This window comes from Homo sapiens, chromosome 10, assembly GCF_000001405.40.
Source record: "Homo sapiens chromosome 10, GRCh38.p14 Primary Assembly".
NCBI classification, from domain to species: domain Eukaryota; kingdom Metazoa; phylum Chordata; class Mammalia; order Primates; family Hominidae; genus Homo; species Homo sapiens.
The window spans coordinates 18,010,966-18,026,497 of NC_000010.11; the positions used below are offsets into that span (position 1 = coordinate 18,010,966).

At 37.4% G+C, this 15,532-nt stretch overlaps 1 protein-coding gene across 4 annotated transcripts in view; it reads left to right on the forward strand.

Annotated features, from left to right (window-relative positions):
• SLC39A12 (solute carrier family 39 member 12) overlaps positions 1–15,532 on the forward strand; it is a 91,368-nt gene that overhangs the window by 59,048 nt on the left and 16,788 nt on the right. The gene's annotated exons all lie outside the window — the stretch shown is intronic.

Genomic DNA, 15,532 nt, shown 5'->3' on the forward strand with positions numbered 1-15,532 from the left:
TTTCTCCTCTTTATGATTTTATTTTCTTTTCATTTCGTTTCTCTTTTCTTCTTTCTTTTCTTTCCCAAAACAAAATAATACAAAGCCCAGGCGCCCCCTCCAGGTATTTCCTCCCTTCCTTCCTTCCTTCCTTTCTTTTTTTGAGACAGAGTCTCACTCTGTCGCTCAGGCTGGAGTGCAGTGGCGCGATCTCAACTTACTGCAGCCTCTGCCTCCCAGGTTCAAGCAATTATCCTGCCTCAGCCTCTGGAGTAGCTGGGATTGCAAACATGTGCCCCCATGCCCGCTTATTTTTATGCTTTTAGTAGAGATGGGGTTTCGCCATGTTGGCCAGGCTGGTCTGGAACTCCTGGCCTCAAGTGATCCACCTGCCTCAGCTTCCCAAAATGCTGGGATTACAGGCATGAGCCACTGCACTCATCCCCCTTATGACTTTCTTAATAACATTTTCTTTTCTCTAGCTTACTTTATTGTAAGAATACTGTATATAATACACAGAGCATATAAAATATGTGTTAATTGTGTTATTGGTTAGGCTTCTGGCCAGCAGTAGGCTATAAGTCGTTAAGTTTTGGGAGAGTCAAAAGTTATACATGAATTTTCAACTGTGCAGGGATCAGCATCCTAACCCCCACATTGTTCAACTGAACTAAAGCTGGCTGACATCTGTCTTTGCTGAGCTTTACGACTAAGAATTTGTCTAACTGAATCACTTCCCCTAAGGAAAAAAAGGAGAAGAGAATTGTTAAATACAAGTTTAAAGCAGGTAACATCTTAGTCTCTCCTAATTGCGTGTGACAGTGATGTGCTCTTTATCTTATAACTCACAGTTTTCAAAAAAATGTAATTTATCTTCTGCAAACTGCTTCATGAATTGCCTTGAGAAGATCCCACTGGGAAGTGATAGACATATAAGATTCTGTATTTGAATTATTCAGCAAATAAAATTTTTAAAGCTGAAGATTTTAAAACAACCTTGAGAATAGCCTCCGGGTTGGCTATCCCATATAAGTTGAGAGCTGTGGTCTTTGCTTTCTTGAATAACAAGGAAGGTTAAAACAGCTATGTTAAGTTGTTTATTGAACATAAATACTAGTTGAAAAAGACCTAAATTCAAAACAGTGGGAACAAACCGCCTGATTTCAGGAGATTCTTGAGTCAACAGAGTGTTGAGGATTCTACTCTTACTAATCAAATATGATTCTAAAATAGAACATATTCTAACATCCCTCTTTTGATTGATGTCAAAAAGGACAACCAAAAAAATGAATTCCATGAAAAAAAGGAAAAGCACAAGATAGCCATAACCAAACTTTTATCTGAATTAAACCCTCAGAAGATTGTTAAAAGCAAGAATTGATATATTTGTAAGCAAACATTCCAGAGAAGATTTTTATTCTCCAGAATGTTGTAGAAAGGGAAATCCTGGAGGGCCTTTTTAAGACTCTGTGGCTGATAAAAGCTCATCTCTGTGCATATGTAACCATCTCCACCAAGGTCCAGTCAGAGGGTCAGCAAGGTTCATTAAAAGAAAGACACTCCAGACTTCCCTCCGTCTTGTTTACAGCAAACCATCACAAAGAAATTAGAAGTAGAAAACCCTGCAGACTATTGAAAGGGTGGCTGGGTGCGGTGGCTCGCGCCTGTAATCCCAGCACTTTGGGAGGCAGAGACAGGCGGATCACGAGGTCAAGAGGTCAAGACCGTCCTGGCCAACACGGTGAAACCCCTTCTCTACTAAAAATACAAAAATTAGCCCGGCGTGGTGGCGCACACCTGTAGTCCAGCTACTCAGGAGGCTGAGGCAGGAGAATTGCTTGAACCCAGGAGGCAGAGGTTGCAGTAAGCCAAGATCGCACCACTGCACTCCAGCCTGGGTGACAAGGTGAGACTACGTCTCAAAAAAAAAAAAAAAAAAAAGGGCTTAAATCCTGCAAAAATGGATTTGTTTGTGGTTGTTAACGAAGCGTGAGGACATGAGAGCTGAGTTTATGCTCAGGGACTTTGAGATCTAAACAAAACTCAGAATTTCATGTTTTTTAGTGGAAAGTAATGACAATGAATCTTTACCAGGCAGCAAGTGACATCTCTTATTATCACATAGGTTCTTAGATCTAACCTAAATGGTGCTTTATTAAAAATATTGTAATATTATAATCTTTATATTATAATAAGCTAAAAAGCTAAACAATGATATTACAATAAGTTAAAAAGATAAGTAGTTAATAAGCATATTACAGTAAGCTAAATATATCACAATAAGCTAAAAATCTAAACAGTTAAAGCAAACTAAGAATTTTAAAGCTTTAGCTATCATGTTTGGGTCTGATCCATTTTAAGTTAATTTTTATATATGGTATTAGGTAAACATCCAACTTTATTTATTATTATTATTATTATTATTATTATTATTATTATTAGAGACAGAGTCTTGCTGTGTTGCCCAGGCTGCAGAACAGTGGCATGATCATAGCTTACTGTAGGCTTGATCTCCTAGGATCAAGTGATTCTCCTACCTCAGCCTCCCAAGTAGCTGGGACTACAGGCACCTGCCACCATGCCCAGCTAATTTTAAAAAATGTTTTTTGTACATATGGCATGTCACTATGTTGCCCAGGCTTGTCTTGAACTCTTGGCTTCAAGTGATCCTCTTGCCTCAGCCTCCCAAAGTGTTGAGATTACAGTATGAGCCACCATGTTCAGCCTGTTCTTTTGAATGTGTATATCCAGTTTCCCCAGCACCATCTCTTGAAAGGACTCTCCTTTGACCATTGAATGGTTTTGGCACCCTTGTTGAAAATCAATTGATCACGTGTGCAAGACTTTGTTTCTGGGTTCTCCATTCTCTTCTCTTGGTCTATATGGCTGTCTGTAGCCAGTACCACACTCATCTGATTATTCTAGTTTTGTAGTAAGTTTTGAAATCAGGAAATCTAAGATCTCCAAATTTATTCTTTTTCAAGATTGTTTTGGCTATTTGAGGATCCTTTGAGATTTCATATGAATTTTAGGGTTAATTTTTCTATTTTTTAAAAAAAGTGATTGGGATTTTGGTAGAGATTACGTTTAGTCTGTACTTTAAGTAGTATTGATATCTTAATAATACTAAATTTTCCAATCCATGAACGTGAGATGTCTTTCCATTTATTTTGTTTTTAATTTCTTTCAGCAATGTTTTATAGTTTTCAGTACACAAGTCTTTCACTTTTTTGGTTAATTTTATTTCTAGGTATTTTCTTCTTTTTGATGATATTGTAAATACATTTGTTTTCGTTTCTTTTTTGGATTGTTCATTGTTTGTGTTTATAAATGCAACTAATTTTGTGTGTTTATTTTGTCTTTCAACTTTGCTAAATTTATATATTTGGATTTTGTTTTAACATCTTGGGAGTGAAAAAATATACACCTACTGCTTAACAAATTATTATTTAACAGAAAGGTGTATTCTACAAGCAGTATTTTTTAAAATATAATGCTGTAGTGCATAAAAATATGTACATTAAAGACACATTTACAAGTCAAAAAGATCCTACAACAATCACATAAGCCCTTTCCTCTTGTTTTGTTTTTGAAACCCACTGGAAACAGAAATCAAAATTTAGCTCATTCAGTGTCTGTTTTTCCCTTCTTCAATTTTAAGTTGTATGAATAGAGAAATATGCATTTATGACAATAAATAAAGGAAATCTCTATTGTCTTTCAATGTTAGAAGGGATCATGTCTTTTGAAGTCCTTGTGCTGTATGACAAAATTAATCCTTGCATGAATTTTTTTCTTGTTCACTAGAGCAACTTTTCTGGTATTTCCTTAAAGTTTGTGATAGTGAATGCCAGGTACAAACTGCCTTGCTTGTTAGGACTAACACAGGTTTACAAATCTGATGCATCTACAGTTTGAGTGTCATAATGATCACAGCTGTGAAGGGACAACCTATGTATGGTTTCATGTTTCTAACTATCTGCAAGAAAAGTAAAAAAGTAGTGTGATTGACTTCATGGTAAAGCACTACAACAACTAGCAAGATGGCTAGATGATGTATGGGAGAAGAAAGATGAACTAAGGCAGTTCATGCACTTTTTGGATTTGTAAAGGCCAAACGGTCTTCCTAATTTATCAATTTTTCAGCAAGTTGTGATCTCATAGATGAGTTTTTCAGTAAATTTTCTTGGAGACACTGCATGGATAAAGGATTTTACAGATTATTAGGTTGGGCAAAAACTGTATAAACTTTTGGGTACCACTAAGAACCATATTAAATCTATATATCTATATATCTGTTTAATGGAAAGACTGTTACATGTCTCTTTGTAATCATTTTTTAGTTGACATGTTAACAATAATCATCAAAAGACTCTAAAAAATTGAGATAAAAAATTAGCTGAATGCCTTATTAACATTGTTCTCAATATGTGAATAAGTGAATACTCAAAAGATGTTTTTTTCATTTTTTCTCTGTGTTTGATATTAGGGAGATGTTCCAGTGATTCTTCATAATAGTGATCACATTTGGGAAAAAAATCTAGGTGCATTGGTGGTATAATATTGTAGAAAGTGCTTGGACTAAATCTTGTCTTGAGTATCAATAAGACTGTGAAAAGGCACAGTCTAGTTTGGCCTTAGACATCAAACACTCTAGTAACTCGAAATATGCTTTAGTTTTTCCTTCTTTTTTATTTTTAAAAAAATTTTTAGAGTGACAGAACTATGTGGGTGGGACATAAAAAGTACAGAATGAACCATAATCATGATGATTCTTCTCAAAGTGGATGTGTAACTCTTGTTAAGAGTGCTTCTAAAGATAAATAATCAACTTTTTTTTTTTTCACCTACACTATCCAAATGGTGGCCAGTAGTCACATGTGGCTATTATGCCTTGAATGAGGCTAGCATGACTGAAAAATGGATTTTTTTTTGGTTAAACTTTATTTTTAGGGCAGTTTTGGGTTCACAGCAAAACTACTCAGAAGGTACAGAGTTCCCATAAGTCCCCTGTCCCCACACATGCACAACCACCCCGCTATTGACATCCTGCAACACAATGATACATCTGTTACAATTCACAAACATACCTTAACACATTGTGACTCAAAGTCCATAGTTTACATTAGATTTCACTCCTGGTTTTATACATTCTATGGGTTTTGACAAATGGACGATGACACATACTCACCATTGTATCATACGGAATAGTTGCACTGCCTAAATGTCCCCTGTGTTTTGCATATTTGTTTATTCTTCCTTCCCCCAAATCCCTGTCAACCACTACTATTTTTACTGTCTTCATGGTTTTGTCTTTTTCAGAATGTCATATAGTTGCAATTAATGATACAGTGTGCTGCCTTTTCAGATAAGCATCTTCATTTCATAATACAAATCTGAGTTTCCTCTGTCTTTTTACAGTTCGATAGTTCATTTCTTTTTAGTGCTGAATAATATTTCACTGTCTGGATGCATCACCATTTATCCATTTACCTACTGCAGTACATCCAAATTTGGTTCCTTCCAAATTTTGGTAATTATGGATTAAGCTGCTATAAATACACTTGAGCAGGTTTTTGTGTGAACAAACGTTTTCAAATCTGTTGAGGAAATGCCAAGAAATATGATTGCTGGATTACATGATAAGTGTGTTTAGTTTTGTAAGAAGCTACCAAACTGTCTTCCAAAGTGGCTGTACCTTTTGGCATTTCCATCAGCAATGAATGAGAGTTCCAGTTGCTCTACATCCTCACCAGCACTTGTTGCTGTCAGTGTTACGGGTTTTGGCCATTCTAATAGGTGTATGGAGGTATTTCATTGTTGCTGTAATTTGCAATTCACTAATAATATAAAATGCTAAGCATCTTTTATATGACTACTTGCCATCATACATCTTCTTTGGGGAGTCTCTATTCAGGTCTTCCCATTTTTAATTGGAAATTGTCTGTTTTCCTCTTAACTTTTAAAAGTTCCTTGTCTATTTTGGATACCATTCCTTTATCAGATGTTTTGCACATGTTTTCCCCAAGTCTGTGGCTTATCTTCTCATTCTCTTGACATTGTCTTTCACTGAACTGAGGTTTTAATTTTGGGAGTATATATTTAGGGCAACTTGAATCTATGCTCCTGGATTGCAATCCTGAAGCTTGGCCCAAATAAATTATTTACTTATATATTTTTAAAAATACATTTTAATTTTAATGAAGCCCAGCTTATGAATTCTTTCTTTCATAGATCATGTCTTTAGCATCTTGCCTGAAAAGTCATTGCTATACCTAAGGTCACCTAGATTTCTTTTATCCTAATCTTCTAGGATTTTTATGGTTTTGCATTTTTAATTCAGGTCTATGCTTTATTGTGAAGTAATTAATTTTTTCTTTTTGAGACAGAGTCTCACTTTGTCACCCAGGCTGGGGTGCAGTGGCACGATCTTGGCTCACTGCAACCTCTGCCTCCTGGATTCAAGCAATTCTCCTGCCTCAGCCTCCTGAGTAGCTAGGATTACAGGTGCATGCCACCACGCCCGGCTAATTTTTGTATTTTTAGTAGAGACGGGGTTTCACCATGTTAGCCAGGCTGGTCTTGAACTCCTGACCTCATGATCCACCCACCTTTTTGTGAAGAATGTAAGACTGTGTCTAGATTCACTTTTTTTGTAAGTGGATTTCAGGTTGTTCCAGCACCATTTTTTGAAAAGAGGCCATTGCTCCATTTTATTGTGTTTACTCCTTTATCAAAGATCAGCTCACTGTATATAGGTCTATTTCTGGACTCTGTTATATGCCATTGATCTATTTGTCTATTCTTTTAGCAACACAGCAGTGTCTTGATTCCTGTAACATTATAGTAAGTCTTGAAGTCAGGTGGTGTCAGGCCTCCAATATTTTTCAGTGTCAGTCTTTAATATTGAGTTGGCTATTATGGATTTCTTCCACTCCATGTGAACTTTAATATCAGTTTGTTGATACCCATTAAATAACTTGCTGGGACTTTGATTTGGATTGAATTGAATCTATACATCAAATTGGAAATAACTGACATCTTGAGGATATACAGTCTTCCTACCCTTGAACATGGAATACCTTTCCATTTATTTAGTCTTTTGATATCATTTGTCAGAATTTTGTAGTTTTCCTCATGTACGTCTTGTGCACATTTTGTTAGATTTATAACTGAGTGTTTCATTTTTGGAAGTGCAAATGTAAATGGTAATGGATTTTTAACTTTAAATTTCACCTGTTCACTGATGATATAGAGAAAGGCAGTTGACTTTTGAATATTAACCATGTATTCTGCAACCTTGCTATACTTGATTATGTGTTCTAGGAGCTTTTTTATTGAATCTTTTAGATTTTCTTTACAGTTATCATGTCATCCGTGAACAAAGGCGGTCTTATTTCTTTGTTTTTAATCTGCATGCCTTTTATTTCCATTTCTTGTCTTATTGCATTAGCCGGAACTTCCAGTATGATGTTGAGAAGCAGTGGTGAGAGGGCTCATCCTTGCCTTTCTTCTGATTTTAGTGGGAAAGCTTCTAGTTTCTCACCATTAGGTATATTTTAGCTATAGGTTTTTGTAAATGTTCTTTATCAAGTTGAGGAAATTACCTTAATTCCTAGTTTACTGAGAGTTTTTATCATGACTGAATGTTGGATTTTGTCAAATACTTTTCCTACACCTATTGATATGATCATGTAATTTTGTTTTCTTTAGCTGTTGATGTGATGGATTATGTTAACTGATATCCAAATGTTGAATCAGCCTTGCATACCTGGAATAAATCCCTCTTGATTGTAGTTATAATTCCTTTTGTACATTGTTGGTTTTGATTTGCCAATACTTTGTTCAGCAGTCTTGCATCTATATTTTTGAGAAGCGTTGGTCTGTAGTTGATTCATTGGTGTTCTTTGTTTGTAATGTCTTTGCCTGCTTTTGTTCTTAGGGTAATGCTAGCCTCACAAAATGAGTTAGGAAATATTCCTTCTACTTCTATCTTCTGAAAGAGATTTTAGAGAATTGGTAAAATTTTTTCCTAAAGTGTTTGGTAAAGTTCATTGGTGAGCCCATCTGGGCCTGGTGATTTCTGTTTGGAGAGGTTATTGATTATTAATTCAAATTCTTATTTGAATTAGATAAGGGCCTATTCAAATTTTCTATTCCTTCTTGTGTGGGTTTTAGCTGACTGTGTTTTTCAGGGAATTGGTCCATTTCATCTATGTTATCAAATTTGGGGGCATAGAGTTGTTCCTAATATTTCTTTATTATCCTTTAATGTCCACAGAATCTGTAGTGACATCCTCTCTTTGATTTCCAGTATCAGTACTTTGTATCTTCTCTCCTTTTTTTTGTTAGCCTAGCCAGAGTCTTATCTATTTTATTAATCTTTTCAATGAACCAGATTTGGCTTTGTCGAATTTCTGTATTGATTAACTGATTTTAATTTCATTGATTTCTGCTCTTTCATTATTTTCTTCTGCTTACTTTTAGATTTAATTTGCTCTTCTTTTTCTAGTTTCCTAAGAAGGAAGCTTTGAATTCTGAGTTTAGATCTTTATTCCTTTCTGATATATATAATATCTGATTCTTTTCTGAAATTCAATGCTCTGAATTTTCATTTGAGCACACTTTCACTCTTATCTCACACATTTTGATAAATTTTATTTTTATTTTCATTCATTCGAAACTTTTTTAGTTTCTCTTGAGATTTCTTTCTTAACTCATGTGTTATTTAGAGGTATGTTATTTAATCTCCAGTTCTTTTGGTATTTTCCAGCTATCTTTCTGTTATTGATTTCTAGTTTAATCCATATGATCTAAGAATAGAAGTTGTATGACTTCTATTATTTTAAATTTGTTAAGGTCAGTCTTATAGCCCAGAATGTGGTCTATCTTGTTGAATGTTCCACGTGAGCTGGGGAAGAATTTGCAATCTGCTCTTGTTGGATAAAGTAGTCTATAGATGTCAATTATGTCCAATTGATTGATGTCCTGCTGAATTCAACTATGTCTACTGATTTTCTGCCTGCTAGATCTGTTCATTTTTTTATCTTCCAATTTTTTTTTAGGTTCAAGGGATACATGTGCAAGTATGTTACATGGGTAAGGTGCATATTGTGGGATTTGGAATACAGATAATTTTGTCACCTTGGCAATCAAGGTAATACCCAATAGGTGGTTTTACAATCCTCACCCTCCACCTTAATTAAGCCCTAATATCTATTATACCCTTCTTGAGTCAATATTTATTTCCCCCTTATAAGTGAGAACATGCGGTATTTGGTTTTCTGTTCCTGTTTTAATTCACTTAGGATAACGGCCACCAGTTTCATCCATGTTGCCGCAAAAGGTGCAATCTTTTCTTTTTTATGGCTGTATAGTATTCCGTGGTGTATTTGTACCATATTTTCTTTATCCACTCCACCATTGTCAGGCATTTAGGTTGATTCTATGTCTTTGATACTGTGTATAGTGCTGTGATGAACATATGGGTGCATGTGTCTTTATGGTAGAATGATTTATATTCTTTTGGATATATATAGCCAGTAATGGGATTGCTGGGTTGAATGGTAACTCTATTTTAACTTCTTTAAGAAATCTCCAGACTGTTTTCCACAGTGGCTGAACTAATTTACATTTTCACCAGCAGTATATTAGCATTCCCTTTCTCTGCAACCTCACCAGCATCTGCTGTTTTTTAACTTTTTAATAATTGCCATTCTAATGGGTATGAGATGGTGTGTCATTGTGGTTTTGATTTGCGTTTCCCTAATGATTAGTGATATAGAGCATTTTTTCATATGCTTGTTGGCCATGTGTATGTCATCTTTTGAGACATGTCTGTTCCTGTCCTTTGCTCATTTTTTAATGGGGCCATTTGTTTCTTGCTTGTTAATTTATTTAAGTTTCTTATAGATTTTGGATATTAGACCTTTGTTAGATGGATAGTTTGCAAATATTTTTCCCATTCTGTAGGCTGTCTGTTTATTCAGTTGAGAGTTTATTTTGCTGTGCAGAAGCTCTTTAGTTTAATGAGGTCCCACTTGTCAACTTTTGATTTTTTTGCAATTGCTTTTGGAGTCTCTGTCATGAAATCTTTGCCAAGACTGATATCCAGGATGGTATTTGCTAGGTTTTCTTCTGGAGTTTTTGTAATGCTAGGTTTTACATTTAAGTCTTTAATCCATCTCAAGTTGATTTTTGTATATGGTGAAAGGGGAGGGTCCAGTTTCTATCTTCTGCACATGGCTAACCAGTCATCCCAGCACCATTTATTGAATAGAGAGGCCTTTTCTGCTTGTTATTGTCTGCTTTGTCAAAGATCAGATCATTGTAAGTGTACAGTTTTATTTCTGTGTTTTCTAACCTGTTCCATTGGTTGGATAATTACGTCTTGTTGAATCAAACCTTTTATCATTATGTAATGCCCTTTCTTTTTGTCATTTTTGATCAATCATTGTTGGCTTAAAGTCTGTTTTGTCTAAGATAAGAATAGCAGCCCCTGCTCTTTTCTGTTTTCTGTTTGCTTAATAGATATTTCTCCATCCCTTTACTTTGAGTCTATGGGTTTTCTTGCCTGTGAGATGGGTCTCTTCAAAGAAAGCATACATTTAGGTCTTGCTTCTTTATCCAGCTTACCACTCTGTGCCTTTTAAGTGGAGCATTTAGCCTGTTTATGTTCAAGGTTAATATTGATATGTATGGATTTGATCATGTCATCATGTTGTTAGCTGGTTGCTATGTAGACATAATTGTGTATTTGATTTATAGAGTCAGTAGTCTATGTACTTGAGTGTGTTTTTGTGGTGTCAGGTAATGGTCTTTCATTTCCATTTAGCACTTCCTTAAGGACCTCTTGGAAGTCAGGTCTGGTGGTTACAAATTCCATTAGCATTTGCTTGTCTGTAAAGGATTTTATTTCTCCTTCACTTATGAAGCTTAGTTTTGCTGGATATGAAATTCTTGGTTGAAATTTGTTTTCTTTAAGGATTCTTAATTAGGCCCACAACATCTTCTGGCTTGTAGGGTTTCTGCTGAAAAATCAACTGTTAGTCTGATGAGTTTCCCTTTGTAGGTGACCTACCCCTTCTCTCTAGCTGCCTTTAATATGTTTTCTTTTGTGTTGACCTTGAAGAATCTGATGACTATGTGTCTTGGGGATGTTTGTCTTATATAGTATCTTGCAAGGGTGCTCTTCTCTGAATTTTCTGAATTTGAATGTCAACCCCTGTAGTAAGGTTGAAGAAATTTTGAAGGACAGTATCCTCAAATATGTTTTCCAATTTGCTTGCTTCCTCTCCGTGTCTTCCAGGAATGCCAATGAGTCATAGATTTTATCTCTTTACATAATCCCGTCTTTCTCAGAGGTTTTGTTTATTTTTTTTTTTTAGTTCTTTTTTGTTTATTTTTGTCTTACTGAGTTAATTTGAAGAACCACTCTTCAAGCTCTGATATTCTTTCCTCATCTTGGTCTGTTCTGCTGTCAATACTTCTGATTGTGTTATGAAATTTATATAGTGAGTTTTTCAGTTCTATCAGCTCACTTTTGTTCTTTCTTAAAATGGCTATTTTATCTTTCATTCTCTTGAATCATTTTACTGGATTCTTTAGATTTCTTGGAATGGGTTTCAACTTCCTCTTGAATCTCGATGATCTTTGTTGCTATCCAGATTCTCAATTCTATGTCTTTCATTTCAGCCATTTCATTCTGGTTAACATCCATTACTGGGGAGCTAGTGTGGCAGTTTGAATGTATGGAGACACTTTTGATTTTAGAGTTGCCAGGGTTCTTGTGCTGGTTCTTTCACATCTGTGTGGGCTGATGTTCCTTTAACTGTGGTGTAATTTGAGCCTGGTCGGTTAGCTTCATTTCTGGATGTTTCCAGAGGGCCAAGGCTTTGTGCAAGTTCTTTTTTTGTGGCTGAATTCTAGTCCCTGGTTTCACAGAGGTCTATATTAGCGTAGTATTTTTTGGTGTTGAAATTTGGGCTCTAATCCAGTATATGGTGCTTAAGAGTAATGACCAGTAGACAGGCTCTTAGCCACTTGGTTCCTCTGTATTTCCTAGTTTTTGCATCCATGCCCCTTCTCAGTGCTAAGAGTGTAGGCTCCTCTCCTACTTGAGTGCTGGTCACAGATCTCAGCTTGGCCCTCTGGGGCTGTGCATCACAGCCCTGGAGCAAGCTAAGGCTTTTTGTTCCTTCCCCAGCTGGGGGGCAGCAGGGATGGGGACCTTGACAGTGGCAATGACAGAGGCCCTTTCACTTATCTCTTGGGGCTCCACCCAAGAGAAACTTAGAACTGCTGTCAATTAGAATGATCAGTCCAGGGTGGAGTGGCTGCATTGCAAGCCCAAGCTGCCTGGTAAAGAGCAGGGATGTCAGAGGGTTCATGGGTAAGACAGTCTGGCCTCTCCTTTCTAGGGCAGCTGGGTTATGCTGGAGGTGTGAGTAAAGAACTCAGTCTTTTTGTTCCTTCCACAGCCTGGTGGTAGGGGACCAGGTAGCACTGGTAAGGGAAGGTTCTGCTGCTACAGCAGTGGCAGAGGGGCTGTCAGTTTCCTCTGGGAACTTCATGATGGAGTGACACAAAGCCACTGCCAATGGGAATGTTCATTGTGGTGGGGTGGCTGCACTGCAAGCCCAATCTGGAGGCCCTGCCTGGTAAAGAGCATGGAGTCAAGGGCTCACAGGGAAGAGAGACTGGGCTCCTCTCCTTATGCTGGTTGCAGTGTGCTGGGGGTGTCAGCAAAGTGATCAGGGTCTTTATTCTCTTTCCAGCCCAAGGGTAGCAAGGGTAGTTCCTCTGTAGCAGCATGGCTGAGATTCTAGGTTGTCTCTGGGATTTCCTCCCCAGAGAAATGCAGAGCCACCACCAACCTAAGTGCCCAGGTTGGGACAAGGAGGCTGTTCTGTACACCCAGGTCAGGAGGCACTGCTCAGTGAGGAGTAGCAGGGACAGGGACCCCTGTGGAAGTCTGGCCACTTTTCCATAAGGCAACTGTGGTATGCTGGAGGCCTGCAAGTCTTAGACCCTTTGCTCTAACTGCAGCCTGAGGGCAGAAGGGGTGGGGGCTGCAGCAGTGTCAAAAAGGGCAGGCCTGTTGGTTACCTCTGGGATCAGCATCCCAGAGAAATGCAGAGTGGCTACTGGCCCTAGTGCCCAGGTGGAGGTGGGGTGGCTGTGTCGGGGTCCCAGGCCAGTGGGCTTTGCCCAGCAAGGTGTTGGTGAAAGTGAGGCCTGTAGTCTGTCTGCTTCTCAACACTGTGGTTGCAAGAGAGCCTGGCTTCCCTTCTTGGTGGAGCTAAGACAGCTGGTGCCATGGTGTTCAGGAATCCAAGGCCCTTGGGGTTCCTCATGGGCCTGAAAAGCGGCTCTGCCCTGACTCCATGTAGCTCTCCATGTCAGTCTGGAGGAACTGAGGGGAGGCCAGGGGGATCTCCTGTGCCCAGGGTTGCATAGGTCCATGGAAGAAGAGTGGGTCCCCAGGCACTCTTGCTCACTTAATGTTTCCCTTGGTGGATACCCTGCCTTGGGTCCACTTCCGTCCCTAGTGGGCAGCTATCCTTTCTCACTCTTCTCCACTCTCCATGGGTCTCATTACTTCCTTGATGATTCTAAACATGCCCTCCTGGATGATCTAGTTGAAGAGCTAGTGTTTACTTGCCACTCTATGTCTTCTCTCTCAGAGAAGCACACGCTAGCTACTTCTAGTGAGCCACCTTGACCCAAAATCCCTCTGTTCATTTCTGATGGACGAATGTTAAAGTCTTCAAATCTAGTTGTGAATAAATCTATTTTTCCTTGTAGTTCTATCCATTTTTGTCTCACATATTTTAATGCTGTCTTGGTAGGTACATACACATTAAGGATTTTATGTTTTCCTGGAGTATTAAATCATTTATCATTATGTAATACACCATGTATCTTTGATAACTATCCTTGCTCTGAATTCTGCTCAGTCTGAAATTTAAGATCGCTACGACCACTTATATACCTTTCTCCAACCCTTTACTTACAATCTATATTTTCTTTTTATTTAAAGCATGTTTCTTGTAGATGGCAAGTAGTTTGGTCTCGTTTCTTGATCCACTGTTATAATCTCTGTCTTTTAATTGGTATATTTAGATAACTGTTATAGTGATTGCTTAGTTGAATCAATATCTACCATGTTTGTTACTGTTTCTTATTCATTACTTTTGTTCTCTGTTGCTCTCTTTTGTCTTTCACATTTTTTTTGCCTTTTGGTTTCTAATGAAGCATTTTACATGGTTCTGTTTTCTCTTTTTATTTTTATTTTTTTTTATTATACTTTAAGTTTTAGGGTACATGTGCACAACATGCAGGTTAGTTACACATGTACACATGTGCCATGTTGGTGTGCTGCACCCAGTAACTCGTCATTTAACATTAGGTGTATCTCCAAATGCTATCCCTCCTCCCTCCCCCCACCTCACAACAGGCCCCGGTGTGTGATGTTCCCCTTCCTGTGTCCATGTGTTCTCATTGTTCAATTCCCACCTACGAGTGAGAACATGCGGTGTTTGGTTTTTTGTCCTTGCGATAGTTTGCTGAGAATGATGGTTTCCAGCTTCATCCATGTCCCTACAAAGGACATGAACTCATCAATTTTTATGGCTGCATAGTATTCCATGGTGTATATGTGCCACATTTTCTTAATCCAGTCTATCATTGTTGGACATTTGGGTTGGTTCCAAGTCTTTGCTCTTGTGAATAGTGTTGCAGTAAACATACGTGTGCATGTGTCTTTATAGCAGAATGATTTATAATCCTTTGGGTATTATACCCAGTAATGGGATTGCAGGGTCAAATTGTATTTCTAGTTCTAGCTCCCTGAGGAATCACCACACTGACTTCCACCATGGTTCTCTTATTTTTAGCATATAAATCATGCTGCTTTTAAAATTTATTTTAGTGGTTGTGCTAGAGTTGCACTGTAGATTTACAACTAATCCAAGTCTATTTTCAAATAATATACTACTTCACAAGTAGTGCCAATACCTTGTATAAAATATTTCTAATTCTTCCCTCCTGTCTCTTGTATCACATATTCATTCATTTCACTTATACATGAGCATACATAATTGAATCCAATATTGTAATTATTAACAACTGTAACCTGTTAGATCAACTCAGAATAAGAAAAATAAAGGTTTTTATTTACCTTCCCTTATTCGTTCTCAAGTGCTCTTCTTTTTTATGTAGACCAAAGTTTTTGACCAGTATCCTTTCCCTTGTCTCTGAAGAATTTTTAACATTTCTCAGAAGGCATGGCTACTGGCAACAAACAAATTCCCTCTATTTTTGTTTTCTGAGAGAGTCTATATTTCTCCTTCACTTTTGAAATATAATTTAGTAGGGTGCAGGATTTTCGGTGGGTGGATTTTTTCTCTTAACACTTTAAATATTTTAGTTCACCCCCTTCTTGCTTGCATGGTTTCTAAGAAGTCAGATACTTCTCATCTTTGCTTCTTTAAAGGTGAGATATTTTTTTCATCTGGTTTCTTTCATTTTCTGAAGTTTAAAGATGATATGC